Source organism: Homo sapiens, chromosome 19, assembly GCF_000001405.40.
Source record: "Homo sapiens chromosome 19, GRCh38.p14 Primary Assembly".
NCBI classification, from domain to species: domain Eukaryota; kingdom Metazoa; phylum Chordata; class Mammalia; order Primates; family Hominidae; genus Homo; species Homo sapiens.
This window is the reverse complement of record NC_000019.10, coordinates 12,549,122-12,561,278: the sequence shown is the minus strand read 5'-3', so window position 1 is coordinate 12,561,278 and position 12,157 is coordinate 12,549,122. Positions and strand designations below refer to the sequence as shown.

At 50.0% G+C, this 12,157-nt stretch overlaps 1 protein-coding gene, 1 long non-coding RNA gene and 1 pseudogene across 2 annotated transcripts in view, besides 6 other annotated features; 1 reads left to right on the top strand and 2 right to left on the bottom strand.

Moving 5' to 3' along the window:
- On the bottom strand, positions 1-1,794 carry PGK1P2 (phosphoglycerate kinase 1, pseudogene 2; annotated as a pseudogene).
- Positions 7,635-9,553, bottom strand: LINC02926 (long intergenic non-protein coding RNA 2926). The gene is made up of 2 exons (NR_187485.1): positions 8,410-9,553; positions 7,635-7,904 (listed from the first exon to the last, which is right to left on the bottom strand). It is a non-coding gene; the product is annotated as a long intergenic non-protein coding RNA 2926 (long non-coding RNA).
- Positions 7,745-8,244: an enhancer, noted in NCBI's record as "H3K4me1 hESC enhancer chr19:12663849-12664348 (GRCh37/hg19 assembly coordinates)". NCBI's record gives its function as "activates a minimal SCP1, AML or CMV promoter by ChIP-STARR-seq in primed H9 embryonic stem cells {active_cell/tissue: H9 hESC(primed)}" and the evidence as "EXISTENCE:reporter gene assay evidence [ECO:0000049][PMID:30033119]".
- Positions 8,245-8,746: an enhancer, noted in NCBI's record as "H3K4me1 hESC enhancer chr19:12663347-12663848 (GRCh37/hg19 assembly coordinates)". NCBI's record gives its function as "activates a minimal SCP1, AML or CMV promoter by ChIP-STARR-seq in primed H9 embryonic stem cells {active_cell/tissue: H9 hESC(primed)}" and the evidence as "EXISTENCE:reporter gene assay evidence [ECO:0000049][PMID:30033119]".
- Positions 9,530-9,824: an enhancer, noted in NCBI's record as "tiled region #88; HepG2 Activating non-DNase unmatched - State 1:Tss, and K562 Activating DNase unmatched - State 1:Tss". NCBI's record gives its function as "activates a minimal TATA promoter and a strong SV40 promoter by Sharpr-MPRA in HepG2 and K562 cells {active_cell/tissue: HepG2 | K562}" and the evidence as "EXISTENCE:reporter gene assay evidence [ECO:0000049][PMID:27701403]".
- Positions 9,797-12,157, top strand: part of ZNF564 (zinc finger protein 564) — a 26,110-nt gene continuing 23,749 nt past the window's right edge. Inside the window, exon 1 of the mRNA NM_144976.4 lies at positions 9,797-9,949. Within this exon, the coding sequence (NP_659413.1) occupies positions 9,947-9,949 (3 nt within the window). The 5' untranslated portion in view covers positions 9,797-9,946. The remainder of the gene's footprint in view (positions 9,950-12,157) is intronic.
- Positions 9,890-9,999: an enhancer, noted in NCBI's record as "active region_14057". NCBI's record gives its function as "activates an Ori minimal core promoter by ATAC-STARR-seq in GM12878 lymphoblastoid cells {active_cell/tissue: GM12878}" and the evidence as "EXISTENCE:reporter gene assay evidence [ECO:0000049][PMID:35858748]".
- Positions 10,230-10,309: a silencer, noted in NCBI's record as "silent region_10152". NCBI's record gives its function as "represses an Ori minimal core promoter by ATAC-STARR-seq in GM12878 lymphoblastoid cells {active_cell/tissue: GM12878}" and the evidence as "EXISTENCE:reporter gene assay evidence [ECO:0000049][PMID:35858748]".
- Positions 10,658-11,160: an enhancer, noted in NCBI's record as "H3K4me1 hESC enhancer chr19:12660933-12661435 (GRCh37/hg19 assembly coordinates)". NCBI's record gives its function as "activates a minimal SCP1, AML or CMV promoter by ChIP-STARR-seq in naive H9 embryonic stem cells {active_cell/tissue: H9 hESC(naive)}" and the evidence as "EXISTENCE:reporter gene assay evidence [ECO:0000049][PMID:30033119]".

Below are 12,157 nucleotides of genomic sequence, written 5' to 3'. Positions count from 1 at the left end.
TGCAGTAGAGATGAGCTGAGATTCTGTGTAACCATTTAAGGGTTCCCGGCACTGCATCTCTTGGCCACTAGCTGAATCTTGACATGGAAAGTTTTAGCTAATGCCAAGTGGAGATGCAGAAAATGCTAAGTTGACTTAGGGGCTGTGCACAGGAACTAAAAGGCAGGAAAGTACTAAATATTGCCAAGAGTATCAACCCCAGGATGGACTTTACCTTCTAGGAGCTCTAAACCGGCACCACCCCCAGTGCTCACCTGGCTGACTTTATCCTCCATGTTCCATTCTACACAGCAAGTGGCAGTGTCTCCACCACCTCATCCATGAGGGCTTTGGTTCCCCGGGCAAAAGCTTCCCATTCAAAAACCCCTACAGAAGGCCGGGCGCGGTGGCTCATGCCTGTAATCCCAGCACTTTGGGAGGCCGAGGTGGGCAGATCATGAGGTCAGTAGTTCGAGACCAGCCTGGTCAACATGGTGAAACACCGGTCTCTACTAAAAATACAAAAATTAGCCGGGCGTGGTGGCACGCACCAGTAGTCCCAGCTACTGGGGAGGCTGAGGCAGGAGAATCACTTGAATCAGGGAGGTGGAGGTTGCAGTGAGCCAAGACCGCGCCATTGCACTCCAGCCTGGGTGACAGAGTGAGACTCCATCTCAAAAAACAAACAAACAAAAAACCCCAAAAAACCCCACAGGACCATTCCACACAATCTGCTTAGCCTGAGTGACAGCCCCAGCATACTTCTTGCTGCTTTCAGGGCCACAGTCCAAGCCCAGCCAGCCAGCAGGTATGCCAGAAGCCACAGTGGCTTGGCCAGTCTTGGTATTCTCATCAAACTTGCCAGCAGTGACAAAGTCAACAGGCAAGATAATCTTCACACCATTCTTCTCAGCTTTGGACATTAGGTCTTTGACAGTCTTGGCTCCCTCTTCATCAAACAGAGAAGTGCCAATCTCCATGTTGCTGAGCACCTTAAGGAAGGTACAAGCCATTCCACTACCAATAATCATCTCATTGACTTTGCCCAGCATGTTCTTGATCAGCTGGATCTTGTCTGCAACTTTAGTTCTGCCCAGGATGGCCAGGAAGGGTCGCTCTGGGCTCTCCAAGGCCTCGGCAAAGTAGTTCAGCTCCTTCTTCATCAAAAAACCACCAGCCTTCTGTGGCAGATTGACTTCTGCCATGGAGCTGTGGGCTCTGTGAGCAGTGCCAAAAGCATCATTGACATAGACTTCCCCTAGCTTGGGAAGTGAAGCTTGGAAAGCTTCTAATTTGGCTGGATCAGCATTAGCCTTGTTCCCAGAAGCATCTTTTCCCTTCCCTCTTCCTCCACATGAAAGCGGAGGTTCTCCCGCAGGATGACAGACCCAGCAGCTGGGTTGGTACAGGCTTTCTCCACTTCTGGGCCTACACAGTCCTTCAAGAACAGAACATCCTTGCCCAGCAGAGATTTGAGTTCTACAGCAACTGGCTCTGAGGAGTACTTGTCAGGCATAGGGACACCATCAGGCCAACCTAGGTGGCTTATAAGGACTACTGACTTGGATCCATTGTCCAAGCAGAATTTGATGCTTGGGACAGCAGCCTTAATCCTCCAGTTGTTTGTTACCTGGTTGTTCTTCATAGGAAAATTGAAGTCGACTCTCATAACGACCGGCTTCCCTTTCACGTCCAGCTTGTCCAGCATCAGCTTGTTAGAAAGCGACATTTTGGAAATACAGCTGGGGAGACAGCTTGGTAATTCAGACAGCCAGGGAGCCGGCTACCGACGTGTGCTCGGGAGGTTTGCAGAATCCAGTGGTATACTTTTTTTTTTTGGAGATGGAGTCTCGCTCTCTTGCCCAGGCTGGAGTGCAGTGGTGCGATCTCCGCTCACTGCAAGCTCTGCCTCCTGGGTTCACGCCAGTCTCCTGCCTCAGCCTCCCGAGTAGCTGGAACTACAGGCTCCCGCCACCACACCCGGCAAATTTTTTGTATTTTTAGTAGAGACGGGGTTTCACCATGTTAGCCAGGATGGTCTCCATCTCCTGACCTCCTGATCCACCCACCTCGGCCTCCCAAAGTGCTGGGATTACAGGCGTGAGCCACCGCACCTGGCCAGTGGTGTACTTTTTAACAAAAATTTATTTTGAGGTCATTGCATATTCACATGTAGGAAATTATACAGCCATTTTCTCTCAATGGTAACATGTTGCATAGCTGTAGTACAATGTCCTAATCAGGAAATTTCATCTCACCCACCTCCGTCAACCCAATGAACAAGTACAGAGAGTACACTGTTCACAGAGGTGGTTCAACAATTCTACTTCCAAAGAGTATTTCCCACCAGTTTTTTTTCTTTTTTTATTTTTTGAGACAGAGTCTCACTCTGTCACCTAGGTTGGAGTGCAGTGGCACGATCTCAGCTCACTGCAGTCTCTGCCTCCTGGGTTCAAGCGGTTCTCGTGCCTCAGCCTCCTGAGTAGCTGAGGGATTACAGGCACTCACCACCAAGCCTAGCTACTTTTTGTGTTTTCAGTAGAGACAGGGTTTCGCCATGTTGGCCAGGCTGTTCTGGAACTCCTGACCTCAAATGATTCACCAGCCTCAGCCACCCAAAGTGTTGGGATTACAGGCGTGAGCCACTGTGCCCCATCAGTTGTTTTTTTTTTTTTGTTTTTTTTTTTGAGACACAGTCTCGCTCTGTCACCCAGGCTGGAGTGCAGTGGCGCAGTCTCAGCTCACTGCAAGCTCCGTCTCCCAGGTTCACGCCATTCTCCTGCCTCAGCCTCCCAAGTAGCTGGGACTACAGGCACCCACCACCACGCCTGGCTAATTTTTTGTATTTTTAGTAGAGACAGGGTTTCACCATGTTAGCCAGGATGGTCTCGATCTCCTGACCTCGTGATCCACCTGCCTTGGACTCCCAAAGTGCTGGGATTACAGGCGTGAGCCACCGTGCCTGGCCCCAGCCCCATCAGTTTTTAAAAGTTATTTACAAAAAGTATTATTTGCCGGGCGCAGTGGCTCATGCCTGTAATCCAAGCACTTTGGGAGGCCTAGGTGGGTGGATCATCTGAGGTCAGGAGTTCAAGACCAGCCTAGCCAACATGGTGAAACCCTGTCTCTACTAAAAACACAAAAGGTAGCTGGGCATGGTGGTGCACCCCTGTAATCCCAGCTACTCAGGAGGCTGAGGCAGGAGAATTGCTTGAGCCCAGGAGGCGGAGGTTGCAATGAGCCGATATCGTGCCACTGCACTCCAGCCTGGGTGACAGAGTGAGACTCCGTCTCAACAAAAACAAAAACAAAAAACAGTGTTATGCTACTACTACTTTTAAATACATGAAGCACTTCCAAATATCTAGAAATACTAGATATTTCATCTAACTTGTCCACCATGTACACGCACTGTTAAATAAAATTCCACACATGTAACCGTGGTTATAATCTGAGGTATCTCCTAAATATGACCATTTTGGCCTTGAACCATTCCCTCCTCACTTCCTTCTCTCTGCTTTCAATCCAGTGGACAAGTACACGCATGTGTAATGCTTAGAGATGGTTGAACAAACTCCTATCCAAAAGTCATCCACAGAAGACAAGTTTCCTATGAATTTCAACACAAAGTATACAAAATATGCTAAATTTACTAAGTACTTTATCACACACTGGCAACCTCTTTAACATCCAGCAATTAGATGTTGCAAAATCAGGATGCATTTGCCCATTGTATATGCTATATACAGAGCAAAACAAAATGCACAAAACATACAGAAAAATAGTGTCTGAAAATGTCCAATTATGAACACACTGGCCTATTACCTTTTGCAATTTCTTCCCTCCCACCTCCTCTAAACTATCGAACAACTATACACAGTACTACACTGCTCACAAAGGTGGTTAAACAATTCAATTTCCAAAAGGCAGTGTTTCCTATAAATTTTAACAAAAAGATATTTACAGTGATATTTCACTACCTCTATATTTAATATACGTGGGACACTTCCAAACATCTAGGTAGACTAGACATTTGAAGTAAGGAGTTAATTTTTCCACTATGTAACAGCAGTCTTGAATAAACTGCAAACATGTGACAACAGTTATAATTTGAAAGTCTTCCAAATATGAACATTCTGGCCTAGAACCCTTTCTGTCTCCATCAACCCAGTGGGCAAAAATGCTCAAATTTTCAGAAGACAATATTTCATAGGAATTTTATTTTTTATTTTTATTTATTTATTTATTTATTTTTGAGACGGAGTTTCGTTCTTGTTGCCCAGGCTGGAGTGCAATGACAAATGTAGAGTTCGTAAATGAATATATTTTGCATATTTTGTTTTAAAATTCCTAGGAAAGGCCAGGCGCCTTGGCTTGCACCTGTAATCCCAGCAGTTTGGGAGGCTGAGGCCAGCAGATCACCTGAGGTCAGGAGTTTGAGACCAGCCTGGCAAATGTGGTGAAACCCAATTTCTACAAAAATACAAAAAAATTAGTGGGGCGTGGTGGTGGGTGCCTGTAATCCCAGCTGCCTGGGAGGCTGAGGCAGAAGAATCACTTGAACCCGCGACGTGGAGGTTGCAGTGAGCTGACATCCTGCCATTGCACTCCAGCCTGAGCGACAGAGTGAGACTCTGTCTCAAAACAAACAAACAAACAAAACAAACAAACCCGGGAGCGGTTGCTCACGCCTGTAATCCCAGCACTTTGGGAGGCTGAGGCGGGCGGATCACGAGGTCAGGGGGTCGAGAGTAGCCTGACCAACATAGTGAAACCCCGTCTACTAAAAATATAAAAATTAGCCGGGCGTGGTGGTGTGGCCTGTAGTACCAGCTACTTGGGAGGCTGAGGCAGGAGAATCACTTGAACCCGGGAGGCGGAGGTTGCAGTGAGCTAAGATTGCGCTACTGCACTCCAGCCTGGGCAACAGAGAAAGACTCTGTCTCAAACAAATAAAATTAAATAAATAAAAAAAATTTTAGGTTGAGGGAGAAGTTGAGCAGCTTTTTCCTATTATAGACACAGGCCTTCTTCTTCTTTTTTTTTTGAGCTGGAGTTTCACTCTTGTTGCCCAGGCTAGAGTGCAATGGTGCGAGCTCGGCTCACTGCAAGTGATTCTCCTGCCTCAGCCTCCCGAGAAGCTGGGATTACAGGCGTCCGCCACCACGCCCGACTAATTTTTGTATTTTTAGTAGAGACCGGGTTTCACCATGTTGGTCAGGCTGGTCTTGAACTCCCGACCTCAGGTGATCCATCCGCCTTGGCCTCCCAAAGTGCTGTGATTACAGGCGTGAGCCACCACCGTGCCTGGCCTACACAGGCCTTCTATAGACGGTCAGTAAATCTTCCCAAAGGGTGCTGGGGATTTCCCAGGACCACATGTGCCAGGCCATTTTACCATTTCTCTCTTCCACATGAAGGTCTGGTAGAACGAAGGCGAACAGCCGCATGGCCGCTAATCGTTCCACTCGTAGTCAGGGGACTCGTTCACCTTCCAGGCCGGTTAAGGCTATTCTCCGCTATCGTCAGGGCTAGGTAGGTCTCGCCCCACTGGGACAGAGAGGTCCCCCAGGTCCCGGATCTGCGCGGCTTCCTGGTCTAAAGCAAGGCGGCCGAGCCTGTGTCCCTAGACCGCCTCCAGGGCCCTCTGCACCCTGACGCCCCATCGCGACCGCCCCGCTTCCCGCCCGCCGCTCCCGCAGCCACCTGGAGGCGCTGCGTCTCGGCTGGGGCTTCGTCTGTGCCCGGCACAGCGAGGGCCCCGGTGTCTGCGGGGCAGGGGCCGCGGCCTGTCCCGGGACATCCCCGCCCTCCAGCTCACCTGCCTGCTTGGGACTCGGCAAGCCGGCCGCACTCTGCGTCTCACCGCGCTCTCTGTACCATTTTACATTTCCACCACCAAAGTAGGAGTAGGAGTAGGAGTAGAATCCAGTTTCTCTTATGTCCTCCCCAGCACTGGTATAATCCTTCCTTCCTTCCTTCCTTCCTTTCTTTCTTTCTTCCTTCCTTCTTCTTTCTCTTTCTCTCTCTTTCCTTCCCTCCCTTCTTTCTTTCTCTCTCTCTTTTTTTTTTTTTTTTTGAGATGGAGTCTCACTCTGTCACCCAGGCTGGAGTGCAGTGGCACGATCTTGACTCACTGCAACCTCCACCTCCCAGGTTCAAGTGATTCTCGTGCCTCAGCCTCCCGAGTAGCTGGGAGTACAGGCGCCCGCCACCACGCCCAGCTAATTTTTTGTATTTTTAGTAGAGACGGGATTTCGCCATGTTGGCCAGGCTGGTCTCGAACTCCCGAGCTCAGGCAATCCACCCACCCCGGCCTCCCAAAGTGCTGGGATTACAGGCGTGAGCCACCGCACTGCACCCGGCCCTCCCTCTTTCTCTCTTTCTTTTCTCTCCTCTCCTCTCTCTTTCTTTCTTTTTCTTTCTCTCTCTCTCCCCCTCCCTCCCTCCCTCTCTTTCTTTCTTTCTTTCGACAGGGTCTTGCTCTGTCACCCAGGCTGAAGTGCAGTGGCAAGATCTCGGCTCACTGCAACCTCTGCCTGGTGGGTTCAATGATTCTCCTGCCTCAGCCTCCTGAGTAGCTGGGATTACAGGCATGTACCACCACACCATGTGCTGCCACGCCATGTGACGCCACACCTAAAACAGTTTTAAAGAAAGGAGACAAAAAATTATTAGGCTGGGCACAGTGGCTCTTGCCTGTAATCCCATCACTTTGGGAGGCGGAGGCGGGTGGATCTCTTGATGTCAGGAGCTCAGGACCAGTCTGGCCAATATGGTGAAACCCCATCTCTACTAAAAATACAAAAATTAGCCAGGCTTAGTGGCACACACTTGTAATCCCAGCTACTCAGGAGGCTGGGGCAGGAGAATCGCTTGAACCCTAGGAGTCGGAAGTTGCAGTGAGCAACTTGAGATCTCGCCACTGCACTCCAGCCTGGCGACAGAGCAAGACTCCGTCTCAAAATAATAATAATAATACATAAAAAGAAAAATATTTTTTTCTGAGACGGAGTCTCACTCTGTCGGCCAGGCTGCAGTGCAGTAGTGATCTCGGCTCACTGCAACCTCTGCCTCCTGGGTTCAAGTGATTCTCCTGGCTCAGCCTCCCAAGTAGCTGGGACTACAAGTAGCTGGGACTACAGGCACGCGCCACCACGCCCAGCTAATTTTTGTATTTTTAGTAGAGACGGGGGTTTCACCATGTTGGCCAGGAGGGTCTCGATCTCTTGACCTCATGATCCGCCCACCTCAGCCTCCTGAAGTGCTGGGATTATAGGCATGAGCCACCGCGTCCGGCCTTTTTATTTATTTTTCATAGAGATGGGGTCTCGACATCTTTCCCAGGCTGGTCTTGAATTCCTGGGCTCGAGCAATCCTCCCTCCGCAGCCTCCCAAAGTGCTGGGATTACAGGCGTGAACCACTGCATCCAACCCCTGTCCAGATAATTTTTGGCTTCTGTGTAGCATTCCTTTCCCCAGCGTACAGGACAGGACACTCTTTGGAGTGAGAGTCTTATGACCCACGATCACATTAGAGTTCTGCAGTGGACAGGTGAATGGGGGGCAGGAGAAGGTCAGAGAGAGAGAGTTTCTGTTTACTGTAACAAGGACTATGGGAGTTATGAGTCAGGAAGCATGGATGGAAACCAATGTATAAATCATAATAGCATAGCTGATATCTTTGTTTTCTCAAAGGAATCATTACTTGCCAGTTTTAAAATCCATATAAAGTATTTTAGAATTTTTTGTCTTCCAGCTTATACATAACCACAGAAGGAAAGCAGGAACTCTGCTAGTTTCTTAAAAACAAACAAACAGCAAAGGGGATTGAAGGTCTTTTTTCTTACCTAAGTGGATCAGTGTTGGTGAGAAGCAAGTGAATAAACTGCAGTGGGCAGGAGAGCCTGAGACCAGTCTGGAGCCTGCAAAGAGAGGGAAAGGGTGCTTCTTGGGCAGCCTGCCCGCCCTTGCAGGTGGCCTCCAGCTGCTCAGGAGTGCAGATTCTTTTTTTAATTTTAATTTTATTTTTTACTTTTATTATTTTTTTGAGGCAGAGTCTCACTGTTTTGGCACCCAGGCTGGAGTGCAGTGGCGCAGTCTGGGCTTACTGCAACCTCTGCCTCCCGGGTTCAAGCGGTTCTCCTGCCTCAGCCTCCCGAGTGGCTGGGATTACAGGCACGCGCCACCACGCCCGGCTAATTTTTGTATTTTTACTATAGACGAGGTTTCACCATTTGGCCAGGCTGGTCTCGAACTCCTGACCTCAGGTGATCCGCCCGCCTGGGCCTCTCAAAGTGCTGGCGTGAGCCACCGCGCCTGGCCAGGAATGTGGATTCTGAGAAGCTGCAGAGCTGTGAAAAGCAGGAGACCCATGTGCAGATGTGGTTGGGTTGGGGGTGGAGGGTTCTGTCTTTTCTGAGGTTGTACCTTTGGCGCCTGGGGCCATTTCCTGGACAGTGTTTTGGTTTTAGCATTCATGGGGTCGCTGAGTCAGGCTGTAATTTGTATACATGAAGAAAATCTGTGAGGGTCAGACTCAGTGAAAAACTTGTTTGCATTGTCCCCTGGAGAAAAGGTTTGGGAACATGACAATTTATTTAGGTCACGACTTTACATTGACTCCGGGTGAGAGTTTCCTGCTGGTACAAATGAAGGTTTTGAAGGAAAGAGTGTTTCCACACTGTGAGGAGAGGACTGGAGGGCACCTTGAGCTCCCAAAGTTGAATTCTTAAGTGTCCCTGTCTCATCACCAGGTTCTGATCCACACTGGGGTTCCATTTCAGCAGTTAGAGTCTGGGTCCCAAGCTTGGGATTATTTTATTTTATATTTCATTTCTTCATTTCATTATTTCATTTCATTTCATATTTCATTTTTTAGTCTCGCTCTGTCGCCCAGGCTGGAGTGCAATGGCGCTATCTCGGCTCACTGCAACTTCCCCCTCCCAGGTTCAAGCGATTCTCGTACCTCAGCTTCCCGAGTTGCTGGGATTACAGGCACCTGCCACCACGCCTGGCTAATTTTTGTATTTTTAGTAGAGATGGGGTTTCACCATGTTGGTTAGGCTGGTCTTGAACTCCTGACCTTAAGCAATTTTCTCACCTTGGCCTTCCAAAGTTCTGGGATTACAGGCGTGAGCCACCGCGCCCGGCGCTTGGGAATATTTTTAACGTTATGATTGTGGGTTTTCCTTGTGAACTGCGGGTGAAGCAGGCTGCTTGTCTGAGCTAGTTCAAATGTTTGCTTACTTCTCTTGGTTTCTTTATAGATGATCGCTGTCATAAAAACTCCAGTTTTTCCTATACATTTAATACTTTTATTTCTTTGTCCGTTTTAATTTTCTTGCCTGAAAGAAGCAAGCCCTCCTCCCTCCTGTTACACTGTGGTCTGGCCTGGCCTGGGCGCGCCTCCTACTCCGAGGCCAGGGGATGGCTCCACTGGACGCCGAGTCTGTCATTCCCTGTGCACACTTGTGACTCTGTGTCCGGGAGGAAAAGGCAGGAAGGGCACCCTGAGTGCAGAAACACGCCAGTGTCACCTCTGCAGAGCCTGAAACACTTTCTGCTTAAATGCAAATATCCTCCCCGGCACAGAAGGTTACAGAAGGAGGAAGCCCGGCCCGCGAAGGGCAGTGGCCAAGACCCTGTCAATCTGTCTTTACTCAGCCACATACCGCATTGCTTCTCCTGTCACTCAGTACCAAGGGGGCAGGACTTGAATCATCACCCAATCAGGGGCACTGGGGCGGGAACCTGCAAACCATCCAATCAGGAACTCTGCAAGGGGGACAGGGGCAATGTTCAACAACTCCGCGGGGTCTTCCTGTTTCGTGTCCGCTGCGTTTGGGTTCCGGTCTCCGCTTCTCCAGTGGCCCCGGTGGCTCCACCGCAGCGTCTGGCGCGCTGGGACCTGCACAGGCCGGAGAGAGCCGTAGGCAGGACCCCGGGACACCCTGGAAGCCAGGAAATGGTGCGTGTGCGGGGCCGGGCGCCTGGAGACTGGGGGAGGGGCTTGTGGGAACCGGCCGGAACCGGCTGTGGAAGCACCCTGGCCTCCCTGCAGCGACTCCAGGGTCTGGGACCCGAGTTCCCTGGCGCAGCTCGGCCCTCTGTCCCCTCGGCCGCAGGGTGGGTTGGGCCGTAGCCAGTACCCCAGGCGTCCTGTCCCGTCCCTGCGCGGCGACTGCGGCCTCGGCCTCGGAGCCCTGTCTGGGCAGCTCCGCGCCCGCAGCCCCGCCTCTCTCCAGATTGTTTGTACTGGGACACGGGAGGGTCATAAGGCGGAATCCCGTCTCGGGTGTGCGGTTCGTGCATGGGAAGAGCTGTGGGCTGTGGCCTTCCCAGTACATCGTCTTTTTTTCCGGGGGACTGGTCTTCCTCCGAGTCTTCCAAACGTACTGGAAAAAGAATCTCAAACCTACGACTCCCGTTTTTTTTAGCCTAGCTTTTTCTGGGGCTGGAAATAAATGCCTAAATTTCCGGTTCCTTCCCCGCATTCCCAAAGGTGACCTCCCCTCGCCAAATCAACATTATCAGCTGTTTTTTGTTTGACATTTAAGACACAGTATTTTAGTTGTTTATAGTTTCTTTCACCATACTCTTTTGAAAGGATTTGTTTTCTGTTTGTTGTTTTTTTTTTCTTTTCAGACAGAGTTTCGCTCTGTCGCCCAGGCTGGAGTGCAGTGGGAAGATCTCAGCTCACTGCAACCTTCGCCTTCCGGGTTCAAGCAATTCTCCTGCCTCAGCCTCCTGAGTAACTGGGATTACAGGCATGCGCCGCCACGACCGGCTACTTTTTGTATTTTTGGTAGAAACTGGGTTTCTCCATGTTGGCCAGGTTGGTCTCAAACTCCAGACCTCAGGTGATCCGCTCACCTCCGCCTCCCAAAATGCTGGTATTACAGACGTGAGCCACCGCGCCCGGCCTCTTGTTTGTGTACTTGTAACCTGAGAGGGAAACGGAGAATAAGAACCTGACACTCTACGGTAAAATTTTTTTTTTTTTTTGAGACAGAGTTTCGCTCTTATTGCCCAGGCTGGAGTGCAATGGCGCGATCTCAGCTCACTGCAACCTCCACCTCCTGGGTTCAAGCGATTCTCCTGCCTCAGCCTCCCGTGTAACTGGGATTACAGGCATGCGCCACCATGCCCGGCTAATTTTGTATTTTTAGTAGAGACAGGGTTTCTCCATGTTGGCCAGGCTGGTCTCGAACTCCCGACCTCAGGTGATCCGCCTGCCTCGGCCTCCCAAAGTGCTGGGATTACAGGCGTGAGCCACCGCGCCCGGCCGTGGTAAAAAAATTTTTGTGCTTCCCCTCCTTTTATCTTTCCTAAGCCCCGACGCCTAATCAGAATGTCTTTGGGTGGAGTTTCCCCTTTGGAAACTTTACAAGGTGATGTGGCCCTCTATCTTTTCCTGGTCCTGATTTTCAGAACTGCCTGGGCCTGACCCAGGATACCCACAGCTGCCACTTCTCTTGGAGGATCTAGTGATTATCAACCCCTGGGTCACTCCTCCCAGAGGACAGCTTAAGGTGTAGGGGTGGGGCCTCTCACGGGAGCAGCTGTATGCCCTGAGGTGGGAGGAGTCTCCCGGTATCCCCTTCCTCTGAAAAGTTTACCCTTTGGGACGCTCAGCTTTTCTTCCTCAACCCCAGTTTCCGTTCCTTAGGGACACATTGATGGTTACCCAATCTTAGGCTGTTACTGAGAGGAAAAGACACAAATGATTCCTGACCTCTGGATTGTTTTTAGTCTAGTGAAGGGAGGAAAACTATCTCAAAGGAGAAGGAAAACCTGCCCCATTGAAATGGTGCGAGAACCTGAAAGTTAAAATGCGCTTGGGGCAGAGTGAGCAGGGCACAATTCACTGTCTTCAGGGAGGTTGGTCACTGAGCACTCAGTGAGCCAGGGTGGGGCTGGGAGATGTCCTAGGGGATAGGGTGACCTCACCTGACATTGGAATCAGATAAATGTCTGTATTCCAGGTCAGCATTGCCTCTCCCTGGGTTTGTAAACCCTTGAAAAGGTTTATTTGCTTATTTGATCCTGTTTTTCATTAAATGTAGAATGTATTTTATCAGTAGTGCTTGAAAGACAAGATAAAGTGTTTGCAAAGGGAGGGTCACAAAGGGGAGAAAGAGGCAGAAAGTAGATTTGAGGGAAAACAATTATCTAG